General features: G+C 39.4%; 1 protein-coding gene across 3 annotated transcripts, besides 4 other annotated features; it reads left to right on the top strand.

The window, feature by feature from the left end:
- Nucleotides 10-19,208, top strand: NMI (N-myc and STAT interactor). 3 transcript variants are annotated; one of them, NM_004688.3, is made up of 8 exons: nucleotides 10-85; nucleotides 6,724-6,810; nucleotides 7,635-7,730; nucleotides 10,688-10,850; nucleotides 13,814-13,920; nucleotides 14,008-14,194; nucleotides 17,946-18,052; nucleotides 18,803-19,208. In NM_004688.3, exons 2-8 carry the CDS (start codon nucleotides 6,730-6,732, stop codon nucleotides 18,983-18,985), a joined length of 924 nt encoding a protein of 307 aa, NP_004679.2. In that variant the 5' UTR covers nucleotides 10-85; nucleotides 6,724-6,729; the 3' UTR covers nucleotides 18,986-19,208. The 3 variants fall into 3 exon arrangements, with proteins under 3 accessions (NP_004679.2, XP_005246998.1, XP_047302226.1); XM_005246941.3 differs by having other exon boundaries at nucleotides 10-787; XM_047446270.1 differs by lacking the exon at nucleotides 10-85 and adding an exon at nucleotides 5,388-6,646.
- Nucleotides 42-241: a silencer, noted in NCBI's record as "silent region_12006". NCBI's record gives its function as "represses an Ori minimal core promoter by ATAC-STARR-seq in GM12878 lymphoblastoid cells {active_cell/tissue: GM12878}" and the evidence as "EXISTENCE:reporter gene assay evidence [ECO:0000049][PMID:35858748]".
- Nucleotides 372-421: an enhancer, noted in NCBI's record as "active region_16632". NCBI's record gives its function as "activates an Ori minimal core promoter by ATAC-STARR-seq in GM12878 lymphoblastoid cells {active_cell/tissue: GM12878}" and the evidence as "EXISTENCE:reporter gene assay evidence [ECO:0000049][PMID:35858748]".
- Nucleotides 442-491: an enhancer, noted in NCBI's record as "active region_16631". NCBI's record gives its function as "activates an Ori minimal core promoter by ATAC-STARR-seq in GM12878 lymphoblastoid cells {active_cell/tissue: GM12878}" and the evidence as "EXISTENCE:reporter gene assay evidence [ECO:0000049][PMID:35858748]".
- Nucleotides 1,292-1,461: an enhancer, noted in NCBI's record as "active region_16630". NCBI's record gives its function as "activates an Ori minimal core promoter by ATAC-STARR-seq in GM12878 lymphoblastoid cells {active_cell/tissue: GM12878}" and the evidence as "EXISTENCE:reporter gene assay evidence [ECO:0000049][PMID:35858748]".
- Nucleotides 19,209-23,842: the final 4,634 nt, after the last annotated feature.

Genomic DNA, 23,842 nt, shown 5'->3' with positions numbered 1-23,842 from the left:
GGTTCCGGCGTTTCAGGCGCTGCTGTTTTCCGGGAAGGGCAGGCGCGCTGGGCCTTGGGGAGCTGCGCTCGGCGGGCGGACGCGGGTGAGTGGGGAGTCCCTTCCCCGGCTGCCACTCCCGCCGCTGGCAGTCCCGGGCTGGAGAGCCGGGGGTGGAAAGGGAGGTGGGAGCCCTCAGCGCCGACGGAAGTGGGACAGCGCCGGAGTTGAGACCCTGCTCCCCGGGAGCTGCCCGCAGCCGAGTCGCGGAGGCCACGCCGCCTTCGAGGGGGCGCACCTGCTCCTGGGCCCGCTGTGCAGTCTCTGGGCCGTCAGGGCTTCGAGCCTTGTCACTTGTTTGCTTTGCTTCATTGAGGAAATTGAAACATAAAGTTATTTGTGTTTCCTCGCTGTTTTCTCTCTTTTTTTTTTTTTTTTTTTTTTTTGAGACGGAGTCTCGCTCTGTCGCTCAGGCTGGAGTGCAGTGGCGCGATCTCGGCTCACTGCAAGCTCCGCCTCCCGGGTTCACGCCATTCTCCAGCCTCAGCCTCCCGAGTAGAGTAGCTGGGACTACAGGCGCCCGCCACCACGCCTGGCTAATTTTTTTTTTTGTATTTTTAGTAGAGACGGGGTTTCACCGTGTTAACCAGGATGGATACGATCTCCTGACCTCGTGATCCGCACGCCTCGGCCTCCCAAAGTGCTGGGATTACAGGCGTGAGCCACCGCGCCCGGCCCTCGCTGTTTTCTCCGAGTGTCTCTGGAGATAGTCCTTAGGAAAACGGATTTCTTAAGAAAACGATTCTTGGTAGGGGCAGTGTTGTGCAGTCATGGCTGGCGTGTCAGAATAGGCAAGGTTTTTCTTGAAGGAGACATCCGAAGGAGAATACTGTGTTTCCAGTCTGTACAACAGGCAGACGTTCTATTGCCTTTCTTTTTGCTGCCACGCATGCATATAGGAAGATTCGATTCTACACGGCCTGGCACCGCAGTTATATGATTGTATTACGGAAATACGGTGATGTTGATTTGTATCAGTTTTTTTAATTCGCTGCCATAACAAATTACATGGCTTTAGTGGCTTAAACACATAGGAACGCGCGCGCGCGCGCACACACACACACACACACACACTCACATACACAATTTACTATCTTAGGATTCTGTAGCAGTCCTACTGAGGTCTCACTGGGTTAAAATCAAAGTGTTGGCAGGGTTGCCTTCCTTTCTGGAAGCTCTTGGGGTGAATCCTCTTTCCATCTTCCGGAGGCCACCTACCTTATTTGGCTCAGCAGCCCTTCCTCCATCTTCAGGGCCAGCAACATTGCGCCTCTGAAAGTTCTTCCGGGGTCACATTTCACTCTTGACTCTTCTTCTGTCTTCCGCTTTCACTTTTAAGTAGCCTCATGATTACACTGGGCTCCCACAGATAATCCAGGATGCTCTCCATATTTAAAAGCAAGCTGATTAGCAACCTTAATTCAATCTGCAGCCTTAATTCTCCTTTGCAATATAAACTAACATAATCACAGATTCTTGGGATTAAGATGTGGACATCTTTGAGGGAGCCATTGTTTTGCCTACTACATGATTGCATAAAAGGAATGACCATACATCCCACTCATGCATAGAGCAAAAGTATCCAGATGCAAAAGATGCCAAAAGGGTTCTGGTGGTGTTAGATAGTAGACCATTTATGCTGAGAGCCTTTATTACAGGCTCTTGGAATATTGGCATTGTCACAATAATAAAAATAAAAAGCAATTAAATAACATTGCAGTTTCTGTCTTCTGAAATGTAATAAGAGGACTTCATATACATGTGATGTCCTGAGTACAACAAATACTTAAGTCAAGATACCACATAATTCTCTAAATGGAGTGTTTTCAGTGTGTAAGCTTATACTGAGAAAGTGCTCTGAATGTCTGCAGGGAGGAGTAGACATGGTCCCAGCCCTCAACATGTTTACTGATGTGTCACGGAAAATGACATAGGTACACACGTAATTAAAGCGCCGCAAAGGAGATAAAGGAGGGGGAGTAACATCCTTTGGGGGAATCAGAAAAGGCTTCGGGAGCTTGGGGAAAATTTGGAATGGACCTTGAAGAACAGTAAGATTTCATTAGATGGAGATTAAGTTTGGGAGAGGAGGAAGGATGTGACAGTTTGAGGGACAGAGGAAAGAAAAGGAACTATCCAAGTGTTCAGTGTGGTTAGGGAACTGGGTTGAGGAATTGACTAAATAGGACGGGAAAGTGAGTTGGAGTTAGAATGTATCAGACCATGGCTGACCATTAAGAAGATTTTGCAGTTGTTGATACAATAGCGATATATATGTATATATGTATGCGTGTGTGTGTGTGTGTGTGTATGTGTGTGAGAGAGAGAGAGAGAGATGTGGTTTAAATATATATATACTTATATATATATATCGTCTCAAGGCATCTCAAACTTACAGAAAAGTTGCAAGTACAGTAAAACAACTTTTCCTTTTCCTAAATTATTTAAGAATAAATTTCCAATCTGGTGACCTATCATCTTTCATTATATACTTGAGTATATATTTCCTACAAAAAAGATGTGCTCCGACATAACCACAATACAGTCATCAAAATCAGGAATGTGGAGTGCTACGTTACTACAATTTAATAATCAGATCCAATGTGAATTTCACCAGTTGTCCTGATAGTGTCTTGGATAGTGTAGGGGTCAAGGGAAAACTTCCTCTTTGCTCTCTGAAGGGCAAAGGCAGATTAAAAAGGAGAAATGGCATACAAATTTATTAATGTGCACAGGGGAAAAAAATCACATAGTGATGATACTGCACAATGGGGTACAGATGGTTATATTCCCTACTTTTTAGGGGAAAGGGAGATGTGGAAGTGTGGATGATTATAGGGGGTTAGTAAATGATTTTTAAAGGAATTCAAGGGACTCGAAGAACATACAATGGCCTTGGACAAAGCCTGTTGGGCTTGCAGAACAGACAGTGGTTGTAACCCAGGTTTGTTGACAGACTTCAGTCTTCTTTCTGTGATATGAATTCAGAATTAAAAACTCAGGGAAGGGACTAGAGGTAATTGTTCTGTTTTCTGGCAGGTCCCACATTTAGGCAGATAGGAGAACATCAGTGCACCTTCATCCTGTGCTTTGGGAGAGACAGAGGAGGAGGAGGGGGAGGTCAGAGAGACCTTGAGCCATCTTCAGTTCACCATGTCAAAATGCCATACTTCCGGGTATCAGTTTCTGAGCCCCAGTGATAGCAAAAGGATCCAGTTGAGGATCATGCTTTCTACTTAGTTGTGAGGTCTCTTTAGTCTCCTTCAGTATGGACATTTCTTAGTCTTTCCTTGGCCTTCTGAACTTGAAACTTTTGAAGAGAACAGGGCAGTTGTATTGTAGAACCCCTCAATTTGAGTTTGTCTGATGTTTCCTCATGCTTAGATTCAGATTATGCATCTTTGGCAGGACTGTCGTCGAAGTTACATTGTGTTCTCAGTGCACCTTGTAATATGTTACATTATTTTGATTTATTCCATTATTTACTTTGATTATCTCATTATGTTGATGTCTGCCAGACTTCTCCAGTATAAAGTTACTCTTTTCTTCTTTGAAATTAATAAACATTTTGTGGGGAACTATTTTGAAGCTAACTAAAAATTCCTTTCTTCATCAAAATTTCTAATTTATCTGGACTCAGTTTTTTACTTTAATCAACAGATTTAATCATTACTACCATTATGTATTTTAATCTTTAATTTATCCCCAGATTTGGCCACCGAAAACCATCTCAAGGTGGATTCTGTGTCGTTTCAACATGTCATCATCATTCTTTAAGCATTTCCTTGCTTTTTGGCATCATAAGATGTCCCAGGCTCATCTTGCAGTTTTTCTATCCTGGTTTTGGGATCAACCATTTCTCTAAAGAGTCCTGGTTCCTTTTGGTGGAGAATAGTATTAGAAACCAAAGTCTGGGTGCTGAGTGTGCTCATTGCTCATTGTGGTTGTATCTGCTCTCCCAGGCCTTCTCAGCAGACAGAGCTAGGGTATATATGTATTTGTATATACACAAGATACACACATAGGCATTGCTTTTTTTTTTTTTTTTTCTGAGATGGAGTCTCACTCTGTCGCTCAGGCTGGAGTGCTGTGACGCAGTCTTGACTCACTGCAACCTCTGCCTCCCGGCTTCAAGCGATTCTCCTGCCTCAGCCTCCCGAGTAGCTAGGATTACAGGTGCATGCCACCATGCCTGGGTAATCACACATAGGTATTTCTATCTGTCTGTCTATTTATCTATCTATCTATCTATCTATCTATCTATCTATCTATCTATCTATCTCAATCATCAATCAGAAACCACAGCTGCAGGATTACATTGAAATCTAGTTCCAATCAACAGTATTTATTCTTGTTTTCTCCATTTCCATATTTATAATTATCTTCTCTGACGGTGAAAAACTTGGCTCCTATTATCCTCCATATATTTACTTACTTGATCAATTCTGTGTATGTACTTTTGGCCACTGGAGCCCTTTCAGTTGGGTCCCCATGTCCCTTTCACATACTCCCATCATATTGTATGTGTTTGTGCATGTGTTTTAGTGCTTTTTACTTTTCTGGCACTACAAGATATTCCAGGCTTATTTTGTATATTTTATACCCCAGACCTAGAATCAGCCATTGCTCCAATGAGCCCTGGTTTCTTTTATTGAAGAATATTATTAGAAACCAAGATCTGGGTGTTATGCGACTCTCCTCTTTTTTTGACACTCCTGTGTTCATTAAACTAAGACATAGCTAAGTTTTTGCTAGTCTTCTATTTTATTTTTAAGGAGGAATAGATGTCTTTTATTTCTTTTTCAAGAATATTGAGAATTTAGCCACTTGAAATCTTGGAAAATTATATGGCAGACTGTTTATTAATGTGTATCTAAAAACATAGAATCATGATATCCTTTGTCCCATTTTTGATCTGAGAGTTTTTCATCTCAGTAAATTCATATGTAGGCAAGAGTTCTTAAATTTTGTGTACCATGGATTCCTTTGCCAGCTTGGCAAATCCTATGGGCCTTTCTCCAAAAAAAAAACATTTAGTCAATGCCTGTGGGGACAGGCATGGTGGCTTATCCCAGCACTTTGGGAGTCCAAGGGGGGCGGATTGTTTGAGCCCAGGAGTTCGAGACAGTCTAGGCAACTTGGCGAAAACACATCTCTACAAAAAATACAAAAATTAGCTGGGCATGGTGGCACATACCTGTAGTCCCAACTACTTGGGGGGCTGAGGTGGGAGGATCACTTGAGTCAGGGATGTTGAGGCTGCAGTGAGCCGTGTTCATGCCCCACTGCACTCCAGCCTGGGCAACAAAGTGAGACCCTATCTAAAAAAAAAATTAAATGCATAAAATAAAATACATAGAATTACAAAGTAAATCAATTGTATTGAAATATGACTGGGATTATAGGCACCTGGCACCACGCCCAGCTAATTTTTTTTGTATTTTTAGTAGAGACGGGGTTTCACCATGTTGGCCAGGCTGGTCTCAAACTCTTAACCTTGTGATCCACCCGCCTTGGCCTCCCAAAGTGCTGGGATTACAGACATGAGCCACCGCGCCCGGCCAGAAATCAATTGTATTGAAATATGGTTATCAGAATATTTAAAAAGCAAATGTTTGATATAGTGATATATATCAATGTATTACAATATATTACAAGACCTAGTGGTGAGGTTAGTAACTAATGTAGAAGCAATGTTAAACACAAACTATTTTAGCATATCTGCAACAATATTCTATGAAACTATCTGTGCTTTCTATTGGTGACTATCACAGGTGCTGTGAATACTACTGTAGTTTGTTACCATATTCATAATTGAAGAGAATGCTAAGCTTCAATTAGAGGTTATTAGAAATAAACATATAATTTCTTCCCAATCCATGTTTATGGACCCAGCAGGAGAGTTAGTGAAAGCTTCAGGTAAGAACACCTGCGTAGAGAAAGCATATGTTGGAGGCCTCTTGACTTTGTTTACATTTGGGGAGAACAATAGGGAGAATTAAATATTTTAATCAAAAACTTTGAAAAACGTTGGAAAACCAAAATAGTATTCATTTAAAATGGAGCATGATATTATGGTTGGAATGTGAACTACAAAGGAACATTAATGTTCATTACTTTCTATATATTATTTTGTTGAAAAGCAAAGGATTTTTAGAATCTTTTTATATATTATAGGTGTGAAAGTTATTTGAAATATTGGCCAGGTGCTGTGGCTCACGCCTGTAATCCCAGCACTTTGGGAGGCCGAGGGGGGTGCATCACTTGACAAGAGTTCAAGACCAGCCTGACCGACATGGTGAAACCCCATCTCTACTAAAAATACAAAAATTAGCCGGGCATGGTGGCAGGTACCTGTAATCCCAACTACTTGGGAGGCTTGAGACAGGGGAATCACTTGAACCTGGGAGGCAGAGGTTGCAGTGAGCCAAGATCGCACCATTGCCCTCCAGCCTGGGCGACAGAGAGAGACTCTGTCTCAAAAAAAGAAAAAAAAAAGGAGTTATTAAAATACAGACTTTGTTTGGATATAAGCCATATGATAATAAAGCCTTTGATGATGGGAAAAAAAGATATAGCAAAGAAGAGATGTTTCTTCCATAAAAGGGTAAAAGTTCTTATTTCTTTGTTCTTAAATTTGTGTATATATGCTATGCTTATAATATTTATTTTTTATAATATTAGGGGATCATGGAAGCTGATAAAGATGACACACAACAAATTCTTAAGGAGCATTCGCCAGATGAATTTATAAAAGATGAACAAAATAAGGTAAAAAGGAAATTACTGGGTATTATTAAAAATTATTTTATATCTATTAGTTTTGCAGTAAGGCATGTTTTGTATGTCTTTGTCCAACATTACCTTGAATTTGGGAGGCCGTTAGGCTTTAAAAAAATTTTTAACTTCCATTATGTTATTTAAGCCTTACAAGAAGTGTCATATTTTTATTCTTTCTCTTATAAGGCTTACAACACTAGCTGCTTTCTCACTCACACCCTCATTTCTTGGATTTGCATCAACAAGTTAAGAGCATAGTCAGCAATTATCTCATTAGACCCCAAGAGGGAACGGAGGCCCAGGTAGCTTAAACCACTTCCCCAAGGTCATATGTCTGGCTCATTAAGGTAACTGTGTACTATGCGATACTATGGGAATCACAGATAATTAAGAACAAAAACAACAACAACACCAACAACAAACTGCCCCAGAATATGTCCGCTATTACAGTGCAATTTAAAAGTCTTATCATGCTCACAAATAGCTAGGAAAGGAGTTGATGCAGCACTGAAGTAATATTCAGAAGATCTGATCTCAATCTTTGCCTTACTATACAACTTTCTGTGACTTCGGTCTAGTGTAAAAGGTGGTTTCCTGATTTATATAATGGAGATAGTACTACTTGGCAATGTTAGAATAGACAGGTGATGATGTAAAATATTCAACAAATGCATTATTCACATAGTCATATTTATTCTGAGACTGTCTAATGTCTTTCTTTGGTCAGGATGAGAGAAATTTATAGTCTTTAGTTCATTCGGAAAAATGAGTTCAGGGGCTATTTACTTTCTTTGGTACCATTTGATATTTTTAAGGGACTAATTGATGAAATTACAAAGAAAAATATTCAACTAAAGAAGGAGATCCAAAAGCTTGAAACGGAGTTACAAGAGGCTACCAAAGAATTCCAGGTACTCTCTTAATTATTTTATATACTACATTTTTGATGGATGCATGGTTTTTGGAAAAAGCATTTTAATTACACAAAATTCATTTTTAAAACCTTATCATCATCCATGGCACCACCATTTGTAATAGTTCAAAATGGAAAACAACCCAATGATTCCTTCATAGTAGAACGAATTAGTGAATTGGGGTATAGTCATATGATAGAAAACTACACAGCAATGAGAATGAACAGATCATAATGACATGCAGCAACACAAATGAGTTTCATAAACACAATGTTAACACAAAAAAGACAGAAGAGGGCATACCATATGCTTCCCTTTAAATTAAGCAAAAGCAGGATGTTTGAAGTTAAAACAGTGGTTATTTTGGAAGCAGGTAAGACCCAGAAGGGAACCCAAGGGGGTTTCTGGGGTGTTGTCATGTCCTGCCTATCATCTGCGTGCCAATCACGTGTGTTAGCTTTGTAAAATTTCATCTTGCTGTACTTAATGATACATGCATTTTTCTATTATTTACGTACACTTTAATAAATTTACAAAAACAAAAAATTAATAAAATTTACCAAAAAAAGATGGTCATTAGCAAATTACTGTTGGATCAAATTCTGGCTTTTCTCACTGAGTTCTTTTATAATTCTTCTCATCCAAGGTGCTTTGGTAATTTAGATGAGTTTCACGGTTCAAAAAATTGGACATATATTAATCCTCACCATTTAAATTCTCTCCTAAATTTTCCTGTATTTTAATTGTACATAATTTTCACCCATTTTTTTTCTTAACAACTCAGATGTTAAAAAATTAAAGCATTGAGGCTGGGCGCGGTGGCTCATGCCTGTAATCCCAGCACTTTGGGAGGCTGAGGCGGGTGGATCATGGGGTCAGGAATTCACGACCAGCCTGGCTAAGATGGTGAAACCCTGTCTCTACTAAAAAAGAAAAATTAGCCAGGCATGGTGGCGGGTGCCTGTATCCCAGCTACTTGGGAGGCTGAGGCAGAGAATTGCTTGAACCTGGGAGGCGGAGGTCGCGATGAGCTGAGATCACACCACTGTGCTCCAGCCTGGGCGACAGAGCGAGGCGCCGCCTAAAAAAAAAAAAATTAAAGCATTGACACTTCTTGTTTCTGAAGTGGGAGATAGGATATTGAATATCAGGAAGTGAGGTTTTCTGTGTTTATGAGATGGGTGACTTTGTGCAGAAGACTCTGTTAAGATTCTGGTTACTTCTCAGACTGGAGCTAGAATCATGCAGTCTTATAACTCAAAGAGCCTTTAGAAACCGGCCAGCCCTAGTCGACCCACTTTGCAGAGGACCAAACCTGTGATCAGAGAGCTTAAGTAAATTTGCTGTCTGTCGCAGTGTGGTCAGAAATAGAATCAAGCTTTCTCACTCTAATTTCAGAAAGCCCTTGCTCCTCAGCATATACTGGGTATTTCTGCATTATTGGGTAACACTCTGCCTTTACTCAGACATTGTAGACTGTTTTGATGTCAGCCTTACCGTAATCAGAAGTTCCACTGGAGTTATGCATAAAGGCAAAGAATAAATGTAAGATTAAATTGAATGACTCACTGAATATTTCTAATCTCTGTGTTATTTTCAGCATGTAAAATAACCATGGGCAATAGAAATGCAAGCATCTATCTCATTTGTGCATTTATGTGTAGTTATATGAATCTGTTAATCCCAATAATTCTAAGCAGCTAAGTATAACCACCTACCTTTATCTTTCAGGTTACAATTTTTTTTTTTGAAACAGAGTTTTGTTCTTGTTGCCCAGGCTGGAATGCAATGGTGCGATCTCGGTTCACTACAACATCCGCCTCCCTGGTTCAAGCGATTCTCCTGCCTCAGCCTCCTGAATAGCCAGGATTACAGGCGTTTGCCACCACGCCCAGCTAATTTTTGTATTTTTAGTAGAGATGGGTTTTACCATGTTGGCCAGGCTGGTCTCAAACTCCTGACCTCAGGTGATCTGCCTGCTTTGGCCTCCCAAAGTGCTGGGATTACGAGTGTGAGCCACCTGTGTAGCCTCAGCTTACAATTTCTGTTGATACTGTCCCTTCTCATTTTTTATAAACCTAAGTTGTGGTAATGGTTAAAAAGTTGATGGGCAGGTGTTGGGGAAGGTGGAATTTTTAAATTTGATAAATTTAACATCATCTAATTCTGGGCCAGGTGTGGTGGCTCACGCCTGTAATCCCAGCGCTTTGGGAGACCAAGGCAGGCAGATCATGAGGTCAAGAGACCATCCTGGCCAACGTGGTGAAACCCTGTCTTTGCTAAAAATACAAAATACAGAAATTAGCTCGGTGTGGTAGCGCATGCCTGTAGTTCCAGCTACGCGGGAGACTGAGGCAGGAGAATTGTTTGAACCCGGGAGGTGGAGGTTGCAGTGAGCCGAGATCACACCACTGTACTCCAGCCTGGCAACAGAGTGAGACTCTGTCTCAAAATAAATAAATAAATAAATAAAATTATCTAATTCTAGAGTCTTTCTTTTTGGATGAAATTATCTGGATTTGAAATACCATATTATACCCAACACTATATTTCATACTTTGCAGCAAAATTAAACATACTATCTAATGATTTCCTTTTGAGATAGTCTATTATTGGCACTTGTTTAAAAAGTCCTTATTCACATGAATGATGTAGGCTTTAGAACTGAACACCATACAATATTGACAGTTTAAACATTGATTAGAAAAAAGTGAGAGGATTATATATTTTTAATTTCATCTGTGAAATGATATTAAAAGATCAGCATTTGATTACTGAGTACTTACATGGGAAAAAGCAATTACTAAAAATGTTAAATAAGACCATACTCAATATTCTACAAGGTTCTAAAATTAGTGGGGAATGAATTATTGGATGACCAAATTACATTATCATTGGAAGGACTTAAGTTATTTCTCGTCTTGATTTTAATCAAACATTTTCATTTGGATTAGATTAAAGAGGATATTCCTGAAACAAAGATGAAATTCTTATCAGTTGAAACTCCTGAGAATGACAGCCAGTTGTCAAATATCTCCTGTTCGTTTCAAGTGAGCTCGAAAGTTCCTTATGAGATACAAAAAGGACAAGCACTTATCACCTTTGAAAAAGAAGAAGGTATGACTAATGTTAAAAAATATGACCATGTTATTTGGAAAGCACTTTCATAGACATTTAGCTATTACTTCGCTAATATTACTTCACTTATATTATTTCTTATCCTCATAGTGACGTTCTGAGGCAGGTATGATTATTCCCATTTTACAGATGAGAAAACTGACTCTGAGACAAGTGCCTTGAATATGATCTTGTATTCAGAAAGCCATGACTGTGGGACTTAATCCAGGTGCTATGATGATGTCCAATACCAGCCTCTTTCTACTCCACATGCTACCTCCAAATAATGATAGTAATATTTCAAGGTAGTAGAGCTGTACAGTTCTCAGAGACATTATCACATTTTATACTCACACAATTCCATAAATATAGGAGGATAGGATAGTTATTATTGTGTACTTTAAATATAGACATGCCAGAGCCAAGAAAACAGATTCTGAGGATGTTTAAGTGATTTACCTAAGGGAACATAGCCAACGAATGAGAAGAGCCTGGGAGCTAGAGATTTGGAATGAAACCTAATGTTTGCTAAGTCTGCCATGGTGAGGGCCCCTGTTCAGAGCTGGGGGTTCCTGAGTGGGGAGGATCTGGCTTTGAGTGCCAGCCTTGTCCCTTCCTAGAAGCATGATTTGGGATAGGTTCTTTATAAACCTCAGGGTTTTATACAGGTGCTTCATGGTAGTACCTACTTCATGAGGCTGCTTTGAGTATTAAATGAGAAATGTTGATAAAATACTTAGCACAATGTTGGACACTTAATACAAACTTAATGGATGTTAGTTTTTGCTACATGTTAGAAATTTTTCAGATAAGGATACAGAAGCTTAAAGAAGATAATTAACTTGCTTAAAGTCTATACGGTTAGTTGCAGAGCTTAGAGCCAAACCCTGAGAGTCCATGTACTTCCACTGGGCCAATATTTCTCTCGGTAGGCCACCAGCCCAGGCCTTTGTTCTTTTATTTAAGTTATGTGGTGAGGGACCAGATGGTGTTCCCAGCCCTTCCAGTGCTCATATTCTGACAGTCTATAACCCATGTTTCCTCAAAACTGGTGCACCACTGTAGCCTGAAAATAAATGTTGAAAGGCATTCCAGCAGGACAGTATCTGTGCGTAGAAGACATGCATCGCCAGTGTGTTTTCCTTCACCCTGGAGCTACTGCTACAGGTAGAAGAGGAGTCCAGGACTCATACTGGCGACTGGTAATCGGGATATAACTAAAAGATAGATATAAATGAGGATTTGGGAGGCAGGATTTCTGCACAGCAATTTCCTGGGAATGTTGGAAATGGAATTCTCTAAAAGCACCTACATCATTGCTTCTACGCTTGACGTGGCTCTGAGCTCCCAATCTCCTGGGACAGCAGTAGGTTTGAAACACAATTAAGTAGGAGTTGGCTCTTGATTGTCAGAGTCACAACAATTGAGACACAAGCGGTCCCTCTCAGCTGTATCAGATCACCAGATGTTGGGGGTTTGTGGAAGAGTGGGAGGGAAAGAGGATCATCTGAGTATTACTCATTGATATTTTCTGTTATTGTCTGTTGTCATTAGCAAAAAAACACAAAAACACAAAAAAACAAAAAACCATCATCCAAGTTATAGAGTCATATTTTGGTACAGTGAGTTGAATTCCCACATGGCCAAGGCCCTGCCTTCTGGCCCTTTTTTCTCTTCCTCCAGCTGTGGTGTGGTGCCATCTGGTCTGGTTGTCATAAACACATGTGAAGTTTTATAAGACAGAGAGTGAATGTCACTTATTTTCATGATACATTGGAATAGCAGCCCCAAATATCAACAACTGCAGTATTATAAACTCATGCCACACAATTAAAAATAAATGCCCACTCACATTTTTAATTGACATAGAGTTGCCTTTTGGAGTGCTAGTGATTTTTAGCATTTTACTAAACCTCTCCCATTTGCACAGGTAAATTAGACTTGACAGCTTTGTGATCAATATAGCAGGACTATCAACTTTTTAAAGAATGATTTCAAGAGCATTTTTGCAAAAGTGGAATTCGTCATTAAGTATGACCAAAAAAAAGACTCACTCTTTGATGTTCCAGCCTATGTAGTCTTTAACATGTAATCCTTGAGAAGACAGAGCAAATGAATATATATTGCTCTAGTGCTTGTAACATATTAAGGAGTAACAAATGATAAGGTTAAGTAAAATCAAGACTAATTGTACAAATGACACTTAGCCATGAAAGTTTTCCCAGCTTACTGAACATGGGACACTTTCTGGCTGTGCATTAATGTACTAGGGGAATCCTCTGGTAATTGTTAATAGTGGAAGGAAGGGTATGTGGCTGAGCTGAAGTAATATATGAATTCTGGAAGATTGTTAGGCTTATCTCTTAAGAGATAAGAGAAAAGATTCATCTTATGAGAAGAATCTAGAACTTGAGAACTTCTACATTGTGATTTTGCTGATATACTTTGACATTAATATATTCTACTTTGGGACCAAGAGCAGTGGCTCATCCTGATAATACCAGAACTTTGTCTGGGAGTCCGATGCAGGAGGATTGCTTGAGTCCAGGAGTTCCAGAGCAGCCTGGGTAACAAAGTGAGAGCTCGTCTCTACAAAAAGTTAAAAAAATTAGCTAGGCGTGGTGGCATGCACCTGTAATCATAGCTATTCTGGAAGCTGAGGTGGGAGGATCTCTTGAGCCCAGGAGTTTGAGGTTACAGTGAGCTATGATCACATCACTGCATTCCAGCTTCAGTGACAGAATGAGATCTGGTCCTCCTTCCCCCTGACCCCCCAAATTATATATTCTACTTTGGTAGCAAGACCATTATCACTTGGAATCACCGCCCGCCAAATTTTTAAAATTAGACCCTTTAATATTAAAGAAAATTAAAAATATTCAGGATAATTTGTTCTTAAACCAAAAGCATAACAATTCTTAAAATATTGGAAATTAATACTTCCTTCCTGAATTATTTTTCAGTTGCTCAAAATGTGGTAAGCATGAGTAAACATCATGTACAGATAAAAGATGTAAATCTGGAGGTTACGGCCAAGCCAGTTCCATTAAATTCAGGAGTCAGATTCCAGGTAACAGGATGATTAAAATTTTTTGGATTTCTGTTCATCACAAGCACTTCTCTCATCCATATTTCTGAACATCAAATCATTTTCCAGGTTTATGTAGAAGTTTCTAAAATGAAAATCAATGTTACTGAAATTCCTGACACATTGCGTGAAGATCAAATGAGAGACAAACTAGAGCTGAGCTTTTCAAAGTCCCGAAATGGAGGCGGAGAGGTGGACCGCGTGGACTATGACAGACAGTCCGGGAGTGCAGTCATCACGTTTGTGGAGATTGGAGGTACTCAAGGGTGTAGAAGGTTAACAGACACTCTGCCATTTCAGTCATGTTCTGTTGTTTCTGAAAGTATTCCTATTCTACTTCTTTTATTTGGAATGTATTAGCATGATAATTGGGGATTTTAAAAAACCTTATAAAATAGTAGAGTGTAGGAAATTATTTCCAGGGACAGTACTAGGAAAGATAATATTGCTACAAATAGGCAGGGTGCAGTGGCTCACCCCTGTAATCCCAGCACTTTGGGAGGCGGAGGCAGGCGGATCACTTGAGGTCAGGAGTTCAAGACCAGCCTGTCCAACATGGCGAAACCCCATCTCTACTAAAAATACAAAAATTAGCCAGGCATGGTGGCAAGTGCCTGTAATCCCAGCTACTTGGGAGGCTGAGGCAGGGAGAATCACTTGAACCCAGGAGGTGGAGGTTGCAGTGAGCTGAGATCACCAGGCATAGTGGTGCGTGCCTGTGGTCCCAGCTACTCAGGAGGCTGAGGTGGGAGGATTACTTGAGGCCAGGAGGTTGAGGCTGCAGTGACCTGTGATTGCACCACTGCACTACAGCCTGGGAGACAGAGTGAGACCCTGTCTCAAAAAACAAAATTAAAAAAAAAAATTGATGGATTAGATTTTTTCATGACAAAGTAATACATGCTTTTTTAAGGAAGGTGAAATAATACAGAAGAGCAAACATTTAGTAAAAATGAGACATTTCGGCCGGGCCCGGTGGCTCATGCCTGTAATCCCAGCACTTTGGGAGGCCGAGGCAGGCAGATCATGAGGTGAGGAGTTCGAGACCAGCCTGACTAACATGGTGAAACCCCGTCTCTACTAAAAATACAAAAAAATTAGCCAGGTGTGGTGGCGCATGCCTGTAATCCCAGCTACTCGGGGGGCTCAGGCAGGAGAATAGCTTGAACCCAGGAGGTGGAGGTTGCAGTGAGCCGAGACTACGCCACTGCACTCCAGCTTGGGCGACAGAGTGAGACTCCGTCTCAAAAAAAAACAAAAAGAGACATTTCCTCAAACTTCCCTTTCTCCTACTATTTAGTTAGTTATGGTTATTTGGGTGTCTTTCCAGGCTTTTCTCTGGGCACATTAAAACATGTCAATATCCTTTTTTTTTTTTTTTTTTTTTTTTTTTTTGTGAGACAGAGTCTTGCTCTGTCGCCCGGGCTGGAGTGCAGTGGCACTATCTCAGCTCACTGCAACCTCCGCTTCCCGGGTTCAAGCAATTCTCCCACCTCAGCCTCCCGAGTAGCTGGAATTACAAGTGCATGCCACCATGCCTGACTAATTTTTGTATTTTTGGTAGAGACGGGGTTTCACCATGTTGGTCAGGTTGGTCTCGAACTCCTGACTTCAAGTGATACGCCCGCCTTGGCTTCCCAAAGTGCTGGGATTACAAGCATGAGCCGCCGCTCCTGGCCCAATATGCATTTTTGACCTGAGCTTTTGGATGATGTTTAGGACATCCTGGTGGGATGTGTCAGGGAGAGCTATAAAAGGAAGGGGTCTTGAGGGCTACAGTAATATGTTGTCTTGGAAATGAACAATAACTTGGTGGAAACTTCCATAGTCAAGCATCCAGATTTTAATTTGCCAAATTCATATATTCATTTAGCCTGTTTGGTGTTAGTTTGTCTATATCTTGGATTTTAAAAAATCTGGCCAGGCGCAGTGGCTCATGCCTATAATCCCAGCACTTTGGGAGGCGGAGGCGGGTGGATCACTTGAGGCCAGGAGTTCAAGACCAGCCTGGCCAACATCGCGAGACCCCTTCTCCACCAAAAATACAAAAATTAGCGGATGTGCTGGCTCACGCCTATAGTCCCAACTACTTGGGAGGCTGAGGCAGGAGAATTGCTTGAACCTGGGGGGTGGAGGTTGCAGGGAGCTGAGATTGCATCACTGCACTCCAGCCTGGGTGACAGAGTGAGACTCGGTCTCAAAAAAACCGAAATAAAATAAATAAAATAAAATAAACTAGAATGCAATTTATAACTCTACTGTGAGAGATAATACTAGCTTTGGAACCTGTGTCCTTGGGCCATCTGGGGATGTTCTCCTAGAGGTTACATCTAGCCAGATGGGAAAAATACTTCTGCAGGTTATAGGTTATCCAGCAGGTAACTACTGAAGGATGTGAAGGTATTCTGGAGATAAATATGCCAGATACTTCATAAACTGTGTCTTACTGACTCATCACAATAATCTACAGGGTAGGTACTGTAATTATGCTTATTTTACAGAAAAAGAAACTGAGGCTTTAAGAAGTCAAGCAACATATCCAAGGCCACATAGCTCATAAGTAGCAGAGCTAGGACTGAAGCTGGTCTATTTGACTCAGGACCTGTACTCTTTTTTTTTTTTTTAACTGTGATAAAATATATATAACATAAAATTTACCATTTTAACAATTTTTAAATGTACAATTCAAGGGTACTAAGTACATTCACAATGTTGTACAACCATCACCACTATCCATCTCTAGAACTTTTTAATCACCCCAAACTGAAACTCTGTACCCATTTAACAATAATTCTCCATTACCTCTTCTTCCAGCCCCTGGTAACCATCATTCTACTTTCTGTCTCTATGAATTTGCCTATTCTAGGTACCTCATTCAAGTGGAATTATACAATATTTGTCCTTTTCCTGTCTGTCTTATTTTGGTTAGCATAATGTTATCAGGGTCCATCCATGTTGTGGTATGTATCAGAATTTCATCCTTTTTAAAGGCTGAATAATATTCTCTGTGTGTGTGTGTATTTTATATATCCATTTTGTTGATCTGTTCATCTGTTGGTGGATGCTTGGGTTGCTTCCACCTTTTGCCTATTGTGAAAAATACTGCTCTGAGCATTAACGAGCAAGTATCTGTCCGAGTCCCTGCTTTCAGTTGTTTCGGGTATATACCCAGAAGTTGAATTGCTGGATCATATCATGTTCTATTTTAATATTTTGGGGAACTGTCATACTGTTTTCTACAGTGGCTGTACCATTTTACATTTCTATCAGCATTGCCTCAGGGTTTCAATTTCTCCATATTCTCGCCAATGAGGGCCTACACTCTTAATCATTGTACCATATTGCTGATCCAAGGTAGATGAGTGAGAAGAGTCATAAAAAACATGGTTGTATATTCCCAAGAACTGTTTTTGTTAAATGTTACAGTCTTGACACACATCCTTTCACCACTCTAGGAGAAAAAAATACTGCTAAAAAATAGACTATTCTTTGTGTTGTAGAAAACTGATGAATTTTTATTTCCTTTCAGTTTTTCTAGATGACATTCAATCCCCTCCCTGCTTTGGTTAACATCATTACTTCAGTTTATTGAATATATTGAAAAAAATGTATATAGTATTCTAATCATAGTTTTCACTTACAGCTTTTGAGAAACTGGGAAACAGTCCAGTCTTGTTAGATGAGTGGGTTACTTTCTGCAAAAGACTATGGTATTTTTTATAGCTCAAAGTAGATCTGTCTGAGGACATTGCAACCCTTTGTGCATTGATTGACTGCAGTGAATAATTCAAGATGGAATGAAGGCTTTAAACCTCATTATTGTTTGGTCTTGTAGTTTTCAAAATTATGTACTGTGAAGTCTTCAAAGTGGGCTTTAGAATTTCTTAAAAATTAATCTTTTAACTCAATATTTACTGTAATAGTGTTCTCTTTGAAGGAAGTTTTAACTTTGGTTAAAAATGCTTATGATATAAAAAAGACAAGTATTGTTTTTGTTTTGCTTTTAGTGGCTGACAAGATTTTGAAAAAGAAAGAATACCCTCTTTATATAAATCAAACCTGCCATAGAGTTACTGTTTCTCCATACACAGAAATACACTTGAAAAAGTATCAGGTAAAGTCATCTCTGTTCTCTCATTTTCAGAACTCACTGCCCAAACCCACCCCACAAAAAATAAAGTTGTTGTGAGTCTGTTACTTATGCATCTTATCAATGAGGGATAGCAAAATGGTTTCTTTACTTCATTTTTGCTTGGTGCAAAATGAGTTTGTCTTTTGAAGGAGCATTTTAATGCAAAACTGTACTTTATTATACAATTTTTAAAACTGAAATTACTCAGATAATGGCACAATTTTTATTTTTGTACATGGAGACATAGTTGCATTTCTCTCATATGTCTACTGTCAGTGAGCATGAGAAAGAATTCCTGCCTACTTTCTCTGAACTCATTATCTTTACCCCAGACCTGCTCCCTTTTCCTCTTCCTTCTCAGGTATCCAATGGTACCACCATCTACCTACTCCACCAACTTAAAAGCTAGAACTCATACTTAACTCTTCAGTTTGCTTCACCTCCAACATTCATTTGGTCACTAAATCTTGCCAGCTCCACTTCTGACTACCTCTTTACCTGGTCTTTCTGTTCCCAGAGCATCCCTCCTTTCCTCTGTGTTCCATAATGCCACCAGAGTTCTCTTTCTAAAACTCAGATCTGACTTGGATATTCTCTTGCTTGGAAAATCTTCCTAAGATTTCTTGTCTCTTCTAAGATAAAATAAAAAATATTAAGCAGAGATTATGAATGTAAAGTTTTGTAATTCAAAGCTCTTAGAAATCTTTCTATTTATCATTTTTTCCTTCTTAGATATTTTCAGGAACATCTAAGAGGACAGTGCTTCTGACAGGAATGGAAGGCATTCAAATGGATGAAGAAATTGTGGAGGATTTAATTAACATTCACTTTCAACGGGCAAAGAATGGAGGTGGAGAAGTAGATGTGGTCAAGTGTTCTCTAGGTCAACCTCACATAGCATACTTTGAAGAATAGACTTAACAGAATCATGAAAACTATAGCTTTTTAACCCGGATTACTGTAAATGTTTGACAAAAATGAATATGCTTTTCCTTAAAAAATGAAAACTTTAATTTTTACCATCCATTTATGTTTAGATACAAAACTTATTTCCATGTTTCTGAATCTTCTTTGTTTCAAATGGTGCTGCATGTTTTCAACTACAATAAGTGCACTGTAATAAAAAGTTTTGTTTATAGATTATGTGTATTGGTGCCATGTCTGCTGAAATCAACCTTAAGTGATTCAGATGTCCCCTGCCAGTGCTGGCTCATCCTGTTATGGTCTTGTGGGCCAATTCAGTTGTGGCCCCATGCCCACCAATATGCAGACTTGACTCTTAACATTTTCCAAAACAAAGGCAGTTACATTCAGCAGTTGGTGATTCCTGTAAACTCAACTGAAGATTCGAAGGACTTCAAGAGCAACCATTTACCACTGTGCATAGCATTTCACTCCACAACTCTAAAGGTTCTCAGAGCTGAGTGTGATCTTTTTCTTGAATTTCTGTTCACCCAAGTGCCAAGTGTCCCTTGATTCCTTCCAAGCCATCCCCTCTCCAAATAGAGCTCGTAAAGGACTAGCTTTTTCTTTCTTTTGCACTTACAATGGAAACAATTGGTATAAGAGTTTGAAAACCTTGGCATGGAGAGAGAGGTAAATACAAAGTTAGTGACTCATCACTTATCATGCTCGATGCTGGGGAATGACTGGAGGTAAAAACACAGTACCTGCCCTCCAAGGGTTTAAGTTTAGTTGGAAAGAGACCCAGTTTACTAGCATCTCACTGTTTTTAACTTGCAGAAACTTTAATGATAAAATTAAAGATTCCTATTCAGAGAAGGTAAAAGTCTTTTTGGTAAAGAACCTTTAGGCCGGTTGCGGTGGCTCACGCCACCAGCACTTTGGGAGGCTGAGGTGGGCGGATCACTTGAGGTCAGGAGTTCGAAACCAGCCTGGCCAACATGGTGAAACCCTATCTCTACTAAAAATACAAAAATTAGCCGGGCATGGTGGTGGGCGCCTGTAATCCCAGCTACTTGGGAGGCTGAGGCAGAATTGCTTGAACCTGGGAGGCGGAGGTTGCAGTGAGCTGAGATCGTGCCATTGCACTCCAGCCTGGGTGTTGCAGTGAGACTCTGTCTCAAAAAAAAAAAAAAAAAAAGAAAAATAGAAAAAAAACCTTTGGACAACTTCTATTCTGACATGGTAGGTTTCATGAAGAACTGGCAGCAGAATTAAATTCATATTAAAATGCTGGCAGAATGAAAGGCTTTTAGAAAAGGTTCTAAACCTATTGAATGCTGCCTGGCATCTAAAACAAACAAAAGGAAAAGCTCGAGTTTTGCTTCTGATATTTTATTTTTAGTTTTTAAAGTTACATTACTCTCAGGAGTTCTCATTTTCACCTTTCTTTAAAGAATGAGAGATGGTGCCTAAAAACTACAGTTTATGATAAATCTTCATATTTACCATTTAAACAAATCTCTCGTGTCTATTATTCTTTTTAAAATAGAATGACTATTTAAAGCTCTCAAAAATATTAAGAAGAAAACTTTAAAGTAGCTTTTTAATTTCCATTTTGCCAGTCTCACTGGCACAGAAGGTATTGTTGATAGTCTGTGGCAGATTGCCTATCAGGAAGAATTTTATGTTAATATTTATTTAGGACAAAGTTGAAATAGTCACTTTTGTATTTTGGGGGGTCCTCTTCAGGCAGTAAAATTGATAATTCAATTCTAAATTTTCCTATGTGTTTTTTTATAAATATTTCTAGCTTAGAAAATTATACTTTTCTTTTGGATTCCTTTCACCCTCACCCAAGAGCAGTCTGGCTGGATGTCAGAAAACAAGTATTGGCTCTCCTGCTTATTCCTAGAGTTTTAGGGATCTTACAGAAGGACAGCTGTCTTTGAAAACTTATCAAAAGTACATATTGACTGTTTAATATATTGAATATTAAGAAAGGGGCCTTCATATGTATGTCCAAGATGAGCTAACTCCAGACATTGCCAATATGATAAGTCATATAGATACATATGTGGAATTACAAGTTCCTCTTGCTGTTTGTTGATTTATCAGGCAGCACAGGCTAGGTAATGCCACAGTAACAAACAACCTGCCAAACCTCATGGGCCTAAACAATTCTTACCCATGCTGATTATCCAGCACAGGTTGGCAGGGGGACTCTGTTTATCCTCATCACTTAGAGACTCCATTCTTGAGACAAGAATCATGGAGGGTGGAGGAGGGGGAGGAAATGTGAAATCTGGAAAGTCTTGTATCAGCAATTAAATGCTGTGACCCAGAAGTGATTCTTGTCATTTCTTCTCACATCTCATTGGTCAGAAATAGTCACATGGCCCTATTCAAATAGAAGGGACTTGGGCTGGGCATGGTGGCTCATCCATGTAATCCCAGCACTTTGGGAGGCCAAAATAGGAGGATCACTTGAGGCCAGGAGTTTGAGACCAGCCTGGCCAACACAGTGAGACCCCATCTCTATTTAAAATCTAAATACATGTATATATATAAATGCTTATATATCTCTATTTTAAATCCAAATATATATATGGGGACTAGGAAATTCTGTCTTATCAAAAGTTAGGAGAAACAGATATCGCTGAGCCAGAATAATAACCAGCATAGCCTACCTGTCTTACCACCAATATTTAGTTCATTTGTCTTCTCACACAAAATACACTCGTAGTCATCTCATCCTTAAGGGAGAAAAACAAGAAATTCTATCCAATCATGATATTAAACTCAAAGTGCATGAATTCAAAGTGCTCTACATCAGGTCTGAATGTTACTCCTCTTTATGCAGAGACCCTCACACATCCAATATAGAGTAGCGGAACTGGAATAAGATGAGTGCAATAAACTCTTACACTTGGAAAGGGAAAGAATGGGAGACACATAGCCGTCACTGGGCCAAAGCAATTCTGAAATCCCATTCAGTAGATGTGTGCTCCATACTCCCAGGGTGTGGAATTTGGATTAGGCCCTGATTCCATTCTCTAAGAATTCTCTTGCTCATTGTCCTTATGGCTCTTGAACATTCTTCTTCTTCTTTTTTTTTTTGACACGGATTCTCACTCTATCGCCCACACTGGAGTGCAGTGGTGCGATCTCAGCTCACTGCAACCTCCGCCTCCCAGTTGAACACTCTTCTTTTTCCATTATTCTTCTTGGCCATATCTAGAATGGGCATTTGAAATCTCTTGGAATCTGAAAAGCTTCCCTAGTGCACTTCCTATGGTCAATGTTTGTGACCAAAGTTATAAAGTTTTGAACAGTCATGGTCTCTTTAGTCTGGAGTGGTGGTTATTTAGCTGGTAAAATGGAAAAACTCAATAGGCATCTTGTCTATTTTATTCTGGTAAGCTTACACATCCACAGTTCTTTTCTAGACTTACTTTTTAGAGTTGCTACTGTTCTCTGCTTTCTTAGCCTCATGCTTCTTTCACTCTCCTCATTTAATTATAGATACTTTGGGTCTATCAGGCCACACTTTTGCTTTCATTTCCTTGAGCTATTTTGTCCAGTTGAAAGGGTTTATTGTATTCCACAACCTTAATTGGTGTTTTCGCTCTGAGGGATCCTAATCTATTTAGAGATTTACACCTTGATTTGATCCCCGCGATAAACCGGAGTTCTAATCAATCTTTGTTACTCAACAGGCTTCTTGGTTTTATTGTTTATTATTTGGGAATGAGAAATGTTTCTTCCAGCCCCATAAGTTGGAAGTTCATATTTCTGGACTTTCTCTATTCCCTTTCATTCCTGCTTTCAAACTGGCCAGTTCTTTTCTAAAGTCATTTCTTTCTTATATTATTTGTTAAATGCACTCAATGATAACAGAAAAATGCTAATAACTTTCTGCTTCCCATACTTAAAAAATAACAACCCCAAAACCACAAGCTAATTAGGTACATTATTTGCTTTCCAAGCTATCACATGACAGTTTTACAAAGTACTTTTATACTGCATAATGTGGGTCACCATCCTTCTAATCTCTGATAACTATTTTCTTCTTATCTGCCACTTGGCCTCTAAGCCAAAGTCATGTATTTCAAGTAGTGTTTGGATTGTGTGGTTTTTTTTTTGGCCATAGCAGTACTCCATTTCAGAATACCAATTTCTGTATCAATCAGAATAGGCTATGTGATGCTGATGTGAAAAATTTTTAAATTTAAAATTTTTAAATTTTAAATCTTTTTAAATTTCAGAGACTTAAAGCAACACACATTTATTCCTTCCTCAAGCTACATGGCCATTGATGGTTCAACAAAAAGAGCTCTGCTCATGGTAAACACTTAGGGACCCAAACTCATGGCAGCCACCATCTTTACTATTGCTAGATGTTATGCCAGAGGAAGAAAAGAGCTTTGAAGGGTCTTTAACTGGTAATTAAATTTTTGGCCCAGAAATGATACTTGTCACTTCCACTCACAACTCAGAACTAAGCATATGGACCTACCCAACCATAAAGGAGCCTGGATGTTCATTCTTACCATATGGTTGGAAGGCAGAAAGCCAAAACTGTATGGGAAATAGCATTAATGATACCTGCTTGGTATTAAAAAAGAAAAGATGCTCAATCTTGAAAAATACACATAGTATTATGGAGATAATAAAAATCACCAAAAGTACACATCCAGAGATAATGGTAAATATTTTTGTGTTCTCTTTTCTATTCTTTTTTTCCTTCTAACCACATCACATTTAATGCTGTAAATATACCCATATACCCTATGCTATTTGTCACTTCCTTATTGTTGGGAATAAGGTTGCTTCTAATTTCTTCACACTTATAAATATTCTGATGTA

The sequence above is a fragment of the Homo sapiens genome, chromosome 2 (assembly GCF_000001405.40).
Source record: "Homo sapiens chromosome 2, GRCh38.p14 Primary Assembly".
Taxonomy (NCBI): domain Eukaryota; kingdom Metazoa; phylum Chordata; class Mammalia; order Primates; family Hominidae; genus Homo; species Homo sapiens.
Note: the sequence above shows the minus strand (reverse complement) of the source record. Positions and strands in the feature narration are given on the sequence as shown.